This window comes from Homo sapiens, chromosome 18, assembly GCF_000001405.40.
Source record: "Homo sapiens chromosome 18, GRCh38.p14 Primary Assembly".
Classification (NCBI taxonomy): Eukaryota; Metazoa; Chordata; class Mammalia; order Primates; family Hominidae; genus Homo; species Homo sapiens.
This window is the reverse complement of record NC_000018.10, coordinates 71,197,589-71,214,642: the sequence shown is the minus strand read 5'-3', so window position 1 is coordinate 71,214,642 and position 17,054 is coordinate 71,197,589. Positions and strand designations below refer to the sequence as shown.

Genomic DNA, 17,054 nt, shown 5'->3' with positions numbered 1-17,054 from the left:
CTGCCACCTTTCACTTTAAAAAGCCCTGCCTTTCCAGGCTGAATCAATGTATACCATACATTTATTGATTTATGTCTCTACCTATAACTTCTGCCCTCCTAAATGTAACCCAACCACCTTGAGTACATGTTCTCAAGACTTCCTGGGGCCGCGTCATGGGTTATGGTCCTCACATTTGGCTCAGAATAAATCTCTTCAAATATTTTACAGAGTTGCCTCCTATTTGTTGACACCCATTATCCTGGAGCATTGGATCTGACCTCTTACACATCGCCCCTTTTCTGGGAATTAATTGGGAAGCAGTCTCACCCAAGGTTATGATATCTCCTTGGGGTCATCATGCATCTAAAACCATGACAAATTATAAAGACTTCACACTCAGACCTGTATCTTCCAATCATTTATGACACTTATTTCTGATCTTGGCTACTATTTGTGAAATTTATAAAAATGTATGAAGGCTTTAATAGGCTTTTGGTGAGGGATTTAGTTCCAAATAGGTATTCTCTAGGTACGGATGGTCTTTCAGAAGATTTGAACATAGCTGCTTGTTTAATGCCACATCAACATCCTCCTCACTCAAATCAATATTGAATTAAGAAAAAGAAATTAATGAACGAATGAATAATTATAAACTATGATGGATTTTAAGCAATTCATCAAGTAATAAATGGAAACAGTGCCATCTTGTAAAAGAAAATGAGTGCACCTCATAAGTTACTGCCAACAGTCCCTGTGATTGTTAGATATCATGAAGACTTTATAATTTATAAACCTCTCTACTAATAATGTGAACAGCACTGTTGAACACAGAGAACCCCTCTCATCATGCAGTAGTGGAGTCACAGGGAAAATTTTAAAAAGCTAGGGCATCAGGGCTTGTCTCAGTGTTTAATGTTTACAGAAAAAAAAAAATTAACTGAAATCATGTTTTGAATTTACTAAGATAAATGACCCAATTTCTTTCCCCAAATCAAATTAGGCAAATTTACAACATCTGTCATGCATTCATGTTTTGCATATCACACTGTGAAAATAAAGAGACATTGTAAGGTGGTGGTATTGAATGGGATGAGCCAGCAATAAAAACAGGGGCTTAGAAAAATAAAGATGCATAAATTAAAAATGGTAAACAAAAATAACTCAGAAAAAAGGCAAAATAATATTTTTATGATGACAACTTGTTCTTAGTGTTTGAATACGTGAGGAGTAAAATTCAAGTTTATGAATATAAGGCATCTCGACGTGGATCAGAAAAATTAACATGAATTTCAAAGAACAAATACAGCAGGAAATGAAGGAATAAATGTTACCTTTTAAGGAGAATAAAGGACTAATAAGAGTAGCACAGGGCAAAATTTATATTTTCTATTGGTTTTAGGCAATAGAACTAGGGGCATTAAAATAAAAATAACACCTAAGGATTTAGTCTTGAGTGTGCGACTCACATTGATGTCAATGTGTAGCCTACTTTTTTCAGCATTAACTCGGCGAGAGTTATAAAAGCCTTAAGAATGACATGCAGGCAAAAGATTGTATCAATGATTACTTACAGTATGGAAGCCAGGTTGATGGCCAAGTCTCTTAATAAAAGTTCATTCTGAGAGGTGACAGCCTGCTGGCAGCCCTCCAGCCCTCGCTCGCTCTGGGCGCCTCCTCGGCCTTGGAGCCCACTCTGGCCACACTTGAGGAGCCCTTCAGCCCGCCGCTGCACCGTGGGAGCCCCTTTCTGGGGTGGCCAAGGCCGGAGCTGGCTCCCTCAGCTTGCGGGGAGGTGTGGAGGGAGAGGCGCGGGCGGGAACCAGGGCTGCGCGGCGCTTGCGGGCCAACGCGAGTTCTTCGTGGGCGTGGGCTCCGCGGGCCCGCACTCAGAGCTGCCGGCCGGCGGACAAGCCCCAGGAAGTGAGGGGCTTAGCACCTGGGCCAGCAGCTGCTGTACTGGATTTCTTGCAGGGCCTTAGCTGCCTCCCCTCGGGGCAGGACTTAGAACCTGCAGCCCGCCATTCCTGAGTCTTCCCGCGCGCCCCGCCCACCGCCCCCGCCCCCCGCCGCCCCGCCCCGCCCCCCGCCGCCCCGCCCCGCCCCCCGCCGCCCCGCCCCGCCGCCCCCGCCCCCCGCCGCCCCGCCCCGCCCCCCGCCGCCCCTCCCCTCTGCCACCATGGGCTCCTGCGCAGCCAGAGCCTCCCAGAGGAGCGCCGCTCCCTGCTCCACCACACCAAGTACCATTGACTGCCCAAGGGCTGAGTGCGGGCGCAGGGCGCAGGACTGCCAGGCAGCTCCCCCTGCAGCCCCGGTGCAGGATCTACTGCGTGAAGCCAGCTGGGCTCCTGAGTCTGGTGGGGAGTTGGAGAATCTTTGTGTCTAGCTGAAGGATTGTGAATACACCAATCGGCACTCTGTATCTAGCTCAAGGTTTGTAAATGCACCCATCAGCACTCTGTGTCTAGCTCAGGGTTTGTAAATACACCAATCCACACTCTGTATCTAGCTAATCTAGTGGGGAGGTGGAGAACTTTTGTGTCTAGCTCAGGGATTGTAAACACACCAATCAGCTGTCTGTCAAAACAGACCAATCAGCTCTCTGTAAAACAGACCAATGGGCTCTCTGTAAAATGGACCAATCAGCAGGATGTGGGTGGGGCCGGATAAGAGAATAAAAGCAGGCTGCCCCAACCAGCACTGGCAACCCTGGTCCCCTTCCACAGAGGGGAAGCTTTGTTCTTTAACTCTTTGCAGTAACTCTTATTGCTGCTCACTCTTTGGGTCCACACTGCCTTTATGAGCTGTAACACTCTCATAAAAGTCTGCAGCTTCCCTCCTGAAGCCAGCGAGACCATGAATGCACCGGGAGGAACGAACAACTCTGGATGCGCCCCCTTAAGAGCTGTAACACTCACCGCGAAGATCTGCAGCTTCACTCCTGAGCCAGCGAGACCACGAACCCACCAGAAGGAAGAAACTCCAAATACATCCGAATGTCAGAAGAAACAAACCCCGGATACGCCACCTTTAAGAACTATAACACTCACCGCGAGGGTCCACGGCTTCATTCTTGAAGTCAGTGAGACCAAGAACCCACCCAATTCCATACACAATTCTTTCTTCTTAAAGTTTCAACAAGACTCAATATTAAATTAATACCAAAGAGAGAAATAAAATTCATGTAGTTTAGATTACCAATTGCCCAAATCCCATTTACAGTGTGAAAGTCCACATAATCGTATTTCATTACATCATAATATGAGTATACAAGGCCAAATACTTTGACATGAGATGTCAAATTTAAAAATCCTATCAATCGCAAAGAATTAAATTTAAAAAGTTATTAATATTTTCTAATAAAAATGTAAAACTCTAACCTAAATGTGACTTACTAAACATGTCTCTATCACTTTGGAGGTATAATATTTCCAGATTACTTTTCAAGTTAAGGTAGAAATGGGAAAATTTCAAATTAGTGTGTTATTTAACTGCTTTATTGATATGATTAACATACAATAAAGCACATATTTCAGGTGCATTTTGATACATGTATGCAGACATCAATCCATAAGCACAATCAAGTTAAGAAGATTTAAATCACTACCAAAAGTTTCTTCCTAAACTCTTTATAATCTTTCTATCTTACCCCCCAGCATATCCCCTCTAACCATATTCCTAGGTTTCCATTGATCTGCAATACAAAAAATTAGCCAGGCGTGGTGGTGTGCACCTGTGATTCCAGTTACTCAGGAGGCTGAGGCAGGGGAATCACTTGAACCCGGGAGGCGGAGGTTGCAGTAAGTCGAGATCGCGCCACTGCACTCCAGCCTGGTGAAAGAGCAAGACTCCGTCAAAAAAAAAAAAAAAAAAAAAAAAAGGAATAAAGTTCAATATTCAGTCATTCAATTCAACCACCTTATAACTAATTCAGAAAGACAATTCAAACTGAAAAATAAATATAACGTTGTTAACTGAAACACCAGTGTCTAGGTCCTGCTGCTCGCTGGACAGAAAGCCAATTACTGAGATGACAAGTATTGCCAAGGAAGGCTTTAAAATCGGGTGCTGCAGCTGAGGAGACGGGAACTGAGTCTCAAATCCATCTCTCTGACTAAAACCAGGGGTTTATATAGCAATGAAGACATGTAACAATGTATAAGAAAAAAGGAACAAGGGAGGGGCATGGAAGCAATCATGATGGAGGGGTCCACATCTCATTGTCTGGTTGTGGTAATCTGATGAGTTTCAGTTATTTGATACATTTTTGAGAGGGCTGAAGGTCCTTTCCTGAGGAAGAAACTCACATAAAACAAATGTAGGCTTCAAGCTTTAAGATCAGAAAGATCAATTTCTATGTTTATCCAAAAGAACAGTCAATGGGATTTTTGGGTCTGTTTCAACTTAAGGGCTCATAAACAAAGTCTGAAGTGGAATTTCAGGTTACTGAGAGATGATTTTTTGGCTCAAATTGTATCACAACAGGCTATTTTCTTTCTATACTACTCCTCTGCTTTCCAGAGTTCACTCCATTCTCAGGCTGGAGTCTTGAATCATGCCACAAAAATGTATTAATAGTTGTTGTAGTTTCCTGGAGCTCGGGTTAGAGGAAATACGATTCCAACCATATGGAAAAAAAAAAATGGTTACAAGTGGATTTCCATAATAAATAAGGAGCATTATTACCAGGAGGTAAAGTCATTCTCCTATCAAATAATATCTCATAAGTATTTCATGATTGCAAGTCAACAGGTGAAATTTTAAGTTAGCAATTTTAGTAGAGTGATATAAATATATTATTAATAATCATGAAATTAATTACTAGGAGAGGGAAAAAAAAACTGAAATAACCGTAATAATTGTGGTCCCTAGTGATTAAGGTAAGGTGTGCATAGGACTGAGGAAGGAAGATGGCTGCCTTCTACCAGAAACCCTTCTTGATTTTTACTTTTATAAATTGCAGTTATTACCCTCATTAAATCTATAGTAGCAATACTGCACCATGTCCCCACTGTAGACATGCTGAATATGAACGTTATGTGTGGTGATAGGAAATGTACATTTTTGTTACAGTACCCCATAACCCTGCAAACCCAGGCTAGTACTGATTTAGAGACCAGCATTTTGCAGCCACTGACCCGGAGCACATTGTCAAACTTAGGGAGCTAACAAATGTTGTTGAATTTTTTAAGAAAATTGCTCAAAAATAGTGAAAAAGAGATTGTAGGCATCTATAACTTTAAAACAAAAAACTAAGGCAAAAAAGACCAATCATATAATTTTACTGTGAGATGGATAGTTTATTTTTACATTGAGCAAATCAGACAATAGAGTTGCAATACCTCTTCATCCTTCCACCCGCCCCCGCAAAAAAAAAAAAAAAAAAGGAAAAGTTTATAGGAATTCGAAGAGCTTTGCGAAGAAAGTATTGACTATAATCCAACAACGAAAAAAGCAGAAGTGATGTGGATAGTGCAAATATGTACTTGTGAAATTACAAATGCATTGAGACAGGAAACAAAATTGTTCAGATATTTACAAATGGCTTTTGAGTCCACAGAATATTGTTTATTTTCATAGGACAGGGAGACATATTACAAATCACTTTAATTCTTTAAAAAAAAGTGGATAAAATTTTATATTCAAATTATAAAATCAATTTATAACTATAAAGTCAATTAAAATGTAAAATGTGTAAATATCAAATAATACCCAGTGCCTTGTCATCTGAGAAGTGAGGACTGTATCTTTTCATCAGTAAACTGAGTTAAATTTTTATATTTTATGCTGGTAAACATTATATGACATCTAAATTTCATAATTTAACAAACACTGGTATATTACTAATTATGGAGTTAATCACTAGGAGAGTTAAAAATAAAGAAATGACAACATTTATAGCCTCCAGAGAATTAGACAAGGTATAAACAGGGCACCATAGCTCTTGATGTATAGTAGATACAAGATAAATATTGCGGCGGGGCGGGGTGGCTCAAGCCTGTAATCCCAGCATTTTGGGAGGCCAAGGTGGGTGGATCACGAGGTAAGGAGATCGAGACCATCCTGGCTAACACAGTGAAACCCCGTCTCTACTAAAAATACAAAAAAATTAGCCGGGCGTGGTGGTGGGCACCTGTAGTCCCAGCTACTCGGGAGGCTGAGGCATGAGAATGGTGTGAACCTGGGAGGCAGAGCTTGCAGTGAGCTGAGATTGCACCACTGCACTCCAGCCTGGGCAACAGAAGGAGACTCTGCCTCAAAAAAAAAAAAAAAAAAAGATATTGTTTGAATAAATGAGTGATAAGTGTGGTAAATTTTTAAAAACTACGTTAAATATTGATAATACCACCCTACTTTAATCCTACTTTGTTGAAATTATAAATTATAATTATGAAATTATAAATTACAATCCTGCCTTCATAAAACATTGATCTCACAATTGCTAAGCGTTTCAGGCAAAAATGTGAAATTCTCTTTCTAGAGTTAAATTAAATTTTTGTTTCTAAATTGAATTTTTGACTCCCACAGTCAGGGGATTAAATGTTGGAGTAAGTTGTCGGGGGAGGTGATAGATTCTCTGTCTAGAATAGTAAACTATTTCTTGGGTTAGGTGCCTATCCTGAGATGGGAAGATGGTCTCTCTGGCACTCTCTGATGTCCAATGTTGTATTTGTTTCCAGGCAGAGGGGCAAGTTAACTTTCCTACATCACTCAGCTGTTTTCCTGTTACTCTGTGGTTTGTCTGTCAAGTTGGTGTCTGATGATAAACACTCATTTTAATTAGGAAAAGATTACACATTACCACAAGAATAAATGGGACATTTTCCTTACCATCCTTACTTATTAAAATCTCCCTTTTCCACCAAAAAAAGTCCTCAGAACTTGCAATTATAAAGTTTTTGTTGACTAATAATTACTACTACTTGTTTCATATTTACACGCTAGCCAATTTCTTATGCAAAATGTTAAGTGCTTTTCATGATTAAACTCACTTAATGTCAACAAACCCCAAAGGTAGGTACTAATAGTGGCGGAACTGGGATCTGAACCCAGGCAATCTGCCTCCACACCTCATCTATATGCACTTTGCTTTAGATCACTGAATGAGACATGCTTTCACTAAAAGATGTTGTTTAAAATATGGTGATATAAAGTCAGTTTTCTGAAAGTTTTTAAGAGTAAAAAAAATTAGTATGGATGATTCCACTGATTTTTCAAACTTAATTAAAGTCCTAAGTCATGATTCTTTTTTAAAACCCACAGCAGTTATTATATTGCTAAACACAGTGGGATATTTTAGAAGTTTGGTAAATATTTGAATTTTGAATATAGTTGAATATTTTAATCACAGAGAAGTATTTTCTGGAAGAAACAAAAACATACCCATCCTTTTAAAATTGTTAACGTAACTATTTTACTATCTGTGAAACTAGTCTAAGTCAATTATTAACTGCAACCTGAACCATTACATTTATTTTTTTCAAACATGCTGTTTTGTGTGATAAGTATGTTTTCTACCATATTCTACTATATTGTGATTCATACAAGAATGAAATACATTTTTCTTCAGGTAATGTATTTCATGTAATCCTCTTTATGTGAGCTTAAGGAAGTTAACACTTCTTAATCTTAGTTTAAAAATTGGTAAAATGACAACACTAATTTAAAATAAGTAACAAAATATTTCTATAATTACTAAGATATCTGTTTAATTAGAAAATGGTTGTAAGGATTGGCATTAATATTACATGTAAGCATTTTCATGTTGACTGGCACTAGTAGATACTCTGATAAATATTATTCCTGTTCCATGCCATTCAGTACTGACATTTGAAAATTTTAAGAATGGTCTATGATACACCAATGGTTAGTCTATTGTTACAGCTCTAAGAACTGCTAGATATTATTTGGGTTGGTTTATCCAAATCTAACACTAGAGAAACCATGGTTTTATTTTACTTACTTTTAAAATTATTATTTTTATTGTTATTTTGTAGAGAAGTGTCTTTATGTTGTCCAGGCTGATCTTCAACTCCTGGGTTCAAGTGATCCTCCCTCCTCGGCCTCCTGAAGTACTGGGATTATAGGCATGAGTCACTGCATCTGGCTGACACCATAGGTTTAGCAGAATCTACTGGAGGCAAACCTTATAAATAGGCCAATTTCATTCAGAAATGCTGCCTTGTGTTCTACACAGCAGTGTCAGTCTCTAGAAAGGAAGGTATTTATCCTGGAATTTGTAAGTCCATGTGATTTTTAAAATCCTTGCATTAACTTATAAAACAAATCGACTCTATGAATAGATTTTTTCTCCCTTTTTTGGTTACCTGGAAATGTTATATTTGAGCTTATTCAATATTTAACTAGTAGCCTTTAACCTAAAGTTCCAGGTGGAAAAATAAATTATGAGTCAAAAGACTTAATTATATTTAATCTCTGCCAATAACTTAATATGCCAGTGTAAATAAGTTGCTTAATTTCCCTGGGCCTAAATTTCCTCACATACAACAGAAAAGATATTTATCAGTCTTCAAAATAACCTTCTCACCTTAAAAGTCTATTACTCTTTACAGAATAGAACTTTTGGCATAGGAAAATTTCAGGACACCTGCTGGCAACCCTATTGCCAATTAAAGGATAATGCCAAATAATTGTATGATAGGCAGAGTTAGGAATGTAGATAGGAAACAACATGCAATGGGATGGATGGATAGTTGGATGGATGGATGGATGGATGTATGGGTGGATGGATGGATAGATGGATGGATGGATGGATGGATGGAAAAATGGATGGATGGATAAATGGATGGATGGATGGATGGATGGATGGATGGATGGATGGATGGATAAATGGATGGATGGATGGATGGATGGATGGATGGATGGATGGATGGATGGATGGAGAAATAGGTTATAAATCTATAAAGAGAGACAGAAAAAGAGAAGTCAAAGATATAAAGACACTGTAAGTGTTGAGAAGATCACATTTTGCCATAGATAGTCTTGGTTTTCAATTCTTACTTTCAATGGGGACTTGGATTTATTATTTTATCTGCCTGAGTTTCAGTTTTCTATTTAATATAATGGAGAGGGTATCTCCCATGGCATTAGTCTGAAAAATTAGAGAAAATAAAGCAACTAGCATGGTTCTGGACAACATGTCTGTATTACTCTCAAATAAACCAAGCCTTCTGTATTCTTTAGCATTCTAATTTTTTTTCTTTTTCATCAAAATAAAAAGGAAAAACTGTAATGCAAGCAAATATTTAAAAGCTGGTTAATGCTAATTGCAATTCATTTTTCAGCAGACAATTAAATATTCCATGAACTACAGCAGCCAATGTTGAGCACTTGGAGCAGGGTTCTCCCCTGGACAGCAGCCACAGCTGGTATTCTGCAGTGAAAATTCCAATTCCAGTGCAATTCGATTACATCAATTATCCATGCAAGTGGCATAGAGTTTATAAAATGTATGTTTCAATGTAGTAGATTAGGCATGTGCACTATCATGGTGAGAATTAGCAGGATACTTCTTACTTAAATGTTGTGCTTTTGATTTTTTAATCAGGAAAACACTTGTCTTTAGCTTCATGCAGTAAATTTTCATCTAGGTTTCTACTTGTTAAGAATTTTCATGAGCTCTTCCATGAGCTGTAAAATTTAAGCCCCGTTTCATTTATTTTAGTGTTATTCAGTTTGTGATCTCAGTATCACCTGCACCAGAATCACTCAGGGTTCTTGCTGGAAATGCCCCAGCCAGACACTGAGCCAGATTTTTATGGAAGTGTCCCCCAAGCAATTAAAATAAAAAAAATTGAATATGATTTTCATGCACAGTCATTTAGGGAAGCACGCAGACTGCCAGTACAATATAGAGGGAAGATCATTAAACCAAGTGTCAAAGATCATGGGTGACTTTTGTGACTCTGTAAATATCAGCAGGCCCTCTTGGAGTAGCATGAGCATTGAATACCACACCAACCAGGACTCTTCAGACAGGAATAATTAAGCTACTTCAAAAGCAACAAACAGAAACTTCCAGGTAAACCAAAACATATGATTGCTACATTTAAGTGCCTTTTTAAAACTGTTAAGGCAGTTTAAGTGAACGCTAAGATTATTTTCTACACTGATATTTAATTTTTCTGGCAGATGAACACAGTTAACTTAATATTCAGCTCCTCTCTGTGGTTGAAATAATTTAAACTACAAAGGGAAAGTAGTCAGTTCAGATTTTGATATGGAAACATTCATCCGCAGATCCACCCACCCAGGGAGGCTAAGCATGTTTGGATGTGTACCTCCCACCCCACCTCCAGTGAAAGCAGAAACTCATAGTCACCATCCATCGTCGATCAATACAATATGTTTGGTTCGAAGAAATAGAGGAACAATGAAGGAAAAGGGAATTAGGCTTTGTTAGAAGCTGAAAGCACTCTTTCCTAAAACAAGTATGCATTCCCTGACTCTTTCTTTCTTCGAAAATATGTCCTTAGTACCAACTATAAGCCAGGTATTCTCCTAGGTGTTTGAACTACAGTAACGAAGATATGCACACTACTTTCTTGGAGCATAAATTGTACTGATAATCTTTAGGTAGTCTAGGCCCAACTGGTAAAGTCGGCTGCCCATAAATGTCTACACTTTCCTCTTTTCCTACCAACATATATCATTCAGGGTACCAACACATTCAGAAAACTATATGACATAATATAGTATTTTGTGTGTATGTGTGTGTGTCTATAAATATGTATGCACACACATACACATAGAGACAGAGGAGAACAAGGAAGGAAGGGAGCAAGAGGCTCTGTAGCTGGTGCTGCTGCTGGGAGCCAGTGATCTAATGTAAAGAAGAGGCAAGATGCTGCCCTGGCCAGCTTCTGCACGAGCTCTCTCTCAAAGTGGGCATGCTCTACTGAATGCAGTTTTGCTCTTGTCTTTCTTCCTGCCTGGAACACAGCTGAGAGGTGGAACTGGAGCACCACAGAGTGACCATTTGGTGATCAGCATGGGGGTGGACAGCACAGACTAAGCTGGCTGAGCAGAGAGACAAAAGGGGCAAGCATGGGCCGACCACCTCTAGGCTTGCCATCACATGTGGGAGATGATTTTTAGGCCTAACTGGCAAATTTTAAATTTACAAAATGACCAACAACTTTGTGGACCATATACTGGCAATCACAGTCTACAACTACACAAAAGAAATCCAAGAATTTTACATCAATGACACTTACTTTCCATCTTCAAAACAGAGTGGCATTTTTTCTGGGTCTCTTCCTGTTTTATAATAAATGTGTGGAGAAGATGATTTCCAAGTATCTAAAGTGGTTTGAGGTTTGAAACATTTTATAAGCCAGATGTTTCACCCCACTCTGATTCACTATTCAGAGTGAAATATATCTCCAAAATGAAAGTCTGCAGACTTCGACCTGAAGCATAAGAAAAAGGTTTTTACATTTATACTTTGGAAAGTACACATTTTGCATTCATTAAGGTCCTCTAATTAAGTGAAAATAATAATTGCAGATTGGTAGGCTCTAATGATTCTCAACCAAGCAGATTATTCCTATAGTGTAAGTGCTTATTATTTTATTAGAGAATTTACTTGTGACATTCATAGCAGGCCTATCCCCAAATGTACAATTCTAAAGAGAATCATCAGAGTTATATTATGCTGAAATCTGGAAAAAAAGATGGGATATTTGGGCCAAGTGATGTCCAGAAGCAGAAGGTATATAATTTAGCCACACTTGCAAGAGAGGTAACTTTAATGAGTAGAATTAAAATTACACTCTTCAGCATTTACAAAATCTGAAGTATCATTATTTCATGTTCACTTTTCTATAAAATCTCCAGCATATTCTAAATAAATATTCAATAAGTAAATACACTATATCCAACATATACTATCATCAGGGATATATTTCCTGTGCTTAGAGCACTTAATGCATTGAAAGTAAGCTGATCGTTGACAAAATTAGAACAACTGGCAACTCTTCATTAGTCATTCTGCCAAGTCTCTATATATCACTTCGTTTTTAATATAAGCATACTTTAAAATATATTAGTCAGGGTAAAATAGTGTACAGTGCTATAACAAATAACCAAACCCTCAAATCTTGGTGGTATAACAAAACAGACATTTATTTTTTACTCACACACAAGGTCAGTGCCTTTTCCAGGTGAAAGCTCAGGGATGCAGACAGAGCGAGTCACAGTTTCTCCATCTCAGCAGGATGTTTCCACGGTCACTGTGGCAGGAGAAGAAAGAAGCTAGAGAAGCCCTTTACTGCTCAGTCTGAATGTGCTGCGGGTCCCTTCCTTTCACAATCTATCAGCCAGGACAAATCCAGTGACCCTGCTCAACCATCAAAGGCCTAGAAAATGCTGTTATTGCCCTCCAAAACGAAGAAAGATGATTAGTCATTTCTATCCTCTCCACTTTCCAAAACTGGTTTTTCTTTGATTTCTAATTGTGCCCATAGAATCAGCATAATAGGGCACAACTCATTCTGTGAAATAAAAGTTACCCTGAATTCAGCCTACGGGGTGCAGCATTTCACTTCCAGGTGTGATTCCTTCCTAGCTAATGCTGAGCAAACCGTTTCACTTTGATGAGTCTCAGTTTTCCAACTGAAAATGAGAGGCTTGAGGTTGAAAATTCCTATTGTTCCTTTCAGTGCTGAAATTCTTGGGTAGGGCAAGCAGGAGTTTGGTTTACCATCCTGCCATATTGAATATGTATTAAAGGGCAGTGAGGACCTATTTATTGCTGACAACAGTCTGACAGGCAGACTTGTATGGTTTAAGTCCCCGGAAGATAACCTATTTTGGCATTCAGTATGGCAGAAATTTACTGCAATATGTATTGCCTTGGAGAAATTTATTCTGTTGAGGACTTCAGATGTTATTTCTGGAAATCGAATCCCTCCACTTTGCTTTTGGCTAAAGGAAAACTAGCATTCATCTTTTGGGAGACACTGTGTGGTATTTTGCTGTCAATAACATTCTATACAGCACTGGGTCTTGCAATCTACCACGATAATGGCACGGCAGTGGAATATCTGATGCATATAACATTGGCCTCTTCTTGGAAAGTGGAAATGGTTTTATAAAGAAAATTGAGAAAGAAAATATTTAGAAAGAAACAAATGCAGCAGCAACTTACATGTAATATACCAAAGAAATAAAACATAGTAAACATGAAAAGCAATTTGTTAATGTTGTGAAGGTCTGCACAGAGTGCCATGCATTGTGGTAGCTCATGTCACTGTCACAGATCTGCTATTTCACCTTGTTGGCATGGGCCATAGCTTCTCCAACTCCCATTCTGTCTCACTACACATATTCTCTGAATCTTGGACCAAGTGTTTTTTAGCTCCATAGAGAAATAACCCAGACTCCTTATCAAATGAAAGTATAATATGCTAATTCAGCTCTAGCTTGTCCTAAAGATACAATAAGTTGCATGACTAAATTGTTCATATGCCCATGACCTGTATACCTGTTACCAACCTGTAAGTAAATAACTATATAAACAGTTTACAGGTGAAGCAAAATTGAGCCTATTTGCAGAAAATGCAACATGATATGCTTACAGTAACTCCAGGTAGAAAGTTGAAGTGCTACAGCCCCACTCCAGGCAGTGCTCAATACAGGGCACTTCCTGGTGGACAGAACCTGGTGCGTACCTGGTCATTCACTTTGCCTTCAAGGAGGCATGGGCAGAGGAACCATCTACATGGATGCTCATGCAGTAGCTAACGGTTTGGTAATGAGTGAAAAGGGAATTGAAAATTACCATCAGAAAATTGTTAACAAGAAGGCCCCAGAAAGAAGGATGAGAATAGAACTCTGAATTGAAAGGAAACCTGAATACATTTGTGCCCTGTGCAAATTCTTACCAAGGAGAAATTTGAACAGAGGATCAGCATAATAATCAAAAGGACCAGATGACTTTTTTTTTTTTCTAACGAAGTCTCGTTCTGTCAGCAAGGCTGCAGTGCAGTGCCACGATCTCGGCTCATTGCAACCTCTTCCTCCTGAGTTCAAGCGATTCTCATGCCTCAGCCTCCCATGTAGCTGGGATTACAGGCGCCTACCACCAAGCCTGGCTAATTTTTGTGTTTTTAGTACAGACAGGGTTTCACCATGTTGGCCAGGCTGGTCTTGAACTCCTGACCTCAGGTGATTTGCCCGCCTCAGCCTCCCAACGTGCTGGAATAACAGGCATGAGCTACCCACCATGCCTGGCCAGATGACATATTTTTTGATGCCAGTTTTCATTGTTTCTGGAAACATCCTATGTTTGCCCAATAGGATTGTTATAAAAGTGGCCATTGTGTGATGGGTAGGGAAATAACATGGATTCAGAAACATGGACTTCCACGCACCCAGCCAATCTAGTTGCAGCCAATGTTGAAACCTAATTTGCCAATAAGACACCACTAAGTTTCAATAAAACAACATTTCCCATGGGAAGGGGTTGGGGGAGGGGTTCAGCCAGCCTCTGGCCGCAGGCTGATTATATTGGACCATTTCCATCATGAAAGGGGCAAATCTTTGCTTTCACTAACATAGACACTTTCTCTGGATGTGATTTTCCTTCTCTATCTATCCACTATGATTCTGCTAAAACTGTCATCCTTGAAATTACAGAATGTCTTTATCTTGATATTACTCATAGTATTGCTTCTGACCAAGGAACTAGATTTTCAGCAAATGAAGTAAAAAAAAAAAAAAAAAATGGGGCCCAGCGCACGAAATTCATTGGTCTTATGTCTCCAATAAATCACCTTCATGTAGCTGACCTGATATATTAGTGGAACGGACTTCTAAAGACTTGGTTACCATGCTAGCTAGTGGAAACAGTTTGTGAGCTTGGAATAATGTTGTCCAGGAAGTGGAGCATGCTCTAAGTCAGCAAAAGCTATACAATGTTTCCCCCATAGCCATAGTCTGAGGATCTAGATATTAAGGGGTAGAAACAAAGAGTGGTCCTTCTCTCTATTACTTCTGGTAATCCACTAGCAACATTTTTGCCTGGGGCTCTGCTTGTCACCAAATGTTAGTTTCACACACTAAAGTTCAGTGTAGGGGGTTGGACCCTAGAACAGCTCACATACATTCTGCCCACTCACCTTGTTTCTGGGGACTTCATCCAGGCCTGCAGCTCTTCCAACCCCACGGAATCTTTCTTCACTTCTGAGTCCTGAGCCTGTGTGTGTCCAACTCTGTGGGGAAAGCTGCCAGCTTCTCCTGTAGCTCATCGACATCACCTGGGTTGAAGATGGTGAGAAATTCATGTAAGTTTCAGTTTGTTCTTATCGATTTTAATTCATCTTAATAGGTTTCAGTGCGTGTGATTTTTAGGACTCACTGCATGTCTCAGCTGCCAACCTGGCTTACCTGCAACCTGTCACCTGTTACCTGTAACAGCCTTGCAGTCAGATACTAGGTCAATTGCTTTGCATAGACTTCTTAACCAGCGCACAATCACATAACATCTAATTCCTATAATAAATTGCTTATTGTGTGTCATTCATAGAGTCATAGCTCTCTGATCAAACCCTAATAGAAGTTATAATTAGTATTTATTTTACTCTGCCAAACACTAAGGAGATAGAAATATCACATTATTAGAAATACCACATTATTTTACTTTTCTAAGTCATATTATTTCTGATCATAAGGTCTCACAATCTCAGTTGTGTATGAGCACCAAATCCACTAGAAGTCTGGGGAAAGAGAACTATGTGTCTCAGAAATGGGTGGAAAAACTAGTCTTCAGCACATCGTGATCTCTGTACAAGAGGCCCCTCATCCAGCCCAGTGTGGGCCATTTCAATGCAGTCTGTCTTGGGTTTCCTCAGGCATGGCTCTGAAGAACTCAAACTCTACTCTTCCATTAGAATGGATCATCTTCCGTTATTCCAAAGAATAATGGATGTACCAGCTCTCAGAAAACAAACTGGAAGCAGAGCTTTGTTCTCCTTCACTTCTAGCAGTCCCTTCACAACCAATTGTTTCTTCTTTTTTTTAAAAAAAAAAAAAAACAAAGTCCCAGTTTGGGCCACTGATGTCCATATATATTATATATATTATTTATATATATATATATATTTTATATATATATAAATATATATATAATATATATAAAATATATATAAATATATAAAATAATATATATAATATATATAAAATATATAAATATATATTATATATATAAATATATATAATATATACAAAATATATATAAATATATAATATATAAAATATATATAAATATATAATAATATATAAAATATATATAAATATATAATAATATATAAAATATATATAAATATATATATATTTTTTTTCCAAGACAAAATCCTCTTAATACTGCCTTTGTAACAAGAAATGTTGAATCAAAGCCAAAGTTGATAATTTAGCAATGGAGGTCTAGAAAAATGTCTCTCATTATTTAAGATTATTCTACGATTTAGGCAAGTTTAAACTCAGTATCTTATTCTGCATAAATTGGTAAGTAGTTGGCTATAAAGAAAGGTGTTTTCTTACTCTCAGGGGTAAGTTCTGTCAGAAGAGTCTCCTTTCTAATTTCCTCTGTTTGATATTTTGGGAAGAGGTAAAACTCCATTCTCAGCTTGGTTTTTAAATGGGTGTGTATCACTTGCTCCCAATTTTGCTTGAGTTGACATTGAAGAAATATTCACCTGTTTCCCTAGAAAAATTTTGGAAGTAATAAAAACACAAAAGCATCCATAATTACAATGTATGTAAAGCTCACACTTTCTGCTTTGGGACAATGGAGAATACAGTAAACAATATAAAGTAGAATTAATTTCTTCCTGTAATCACACCATTATATATATATATATATATATATGAAACCCACTGGCCAGGGTGGTGGCTTATGCAACCTGTAATCCCAGAACTTTGGGAGGCTGTCATCCCAGAACTTTGGGAGGCTGAGGTGGGTGGATCACAAGGTCAGGAGTTCGACACCAGCCTGCCCAACATGGTGAAACCCCATCTCTACTAAAAATACAAAAATTAGCCAGCATGGTGGC

The 17,054-nt window shown here is 38.5% G+C and overlaps 1 long non-coding RNA gene across 1 annotated transcript; it reads right to left on the bottom strand.

Annotated features, from left to right (window-relative positions):
- Nucleotides 1-6,276: 6,276 nt before the first annotated feature.
- LOC105372188 (uncharacterized) lies at nucleotides 6,277-16,705 on the bottom strand. The gene is made up of 4 exons (XR_935610.4): nucleotides 16,543-16,705; nucleotides 15,123-15,260; nucleotides 12,141-12,233; nucleotides 6,277-11,411 (listed from the first exon to the last, which is right to left on the bottom strand). It is a non-coding gene; the product is annotated as an uncharacterized LOC105372188 (long non-coding RNA).
- Between the last annotated feature and the right edge of the window lie 349 nt (nucleotides 16,706-17,054).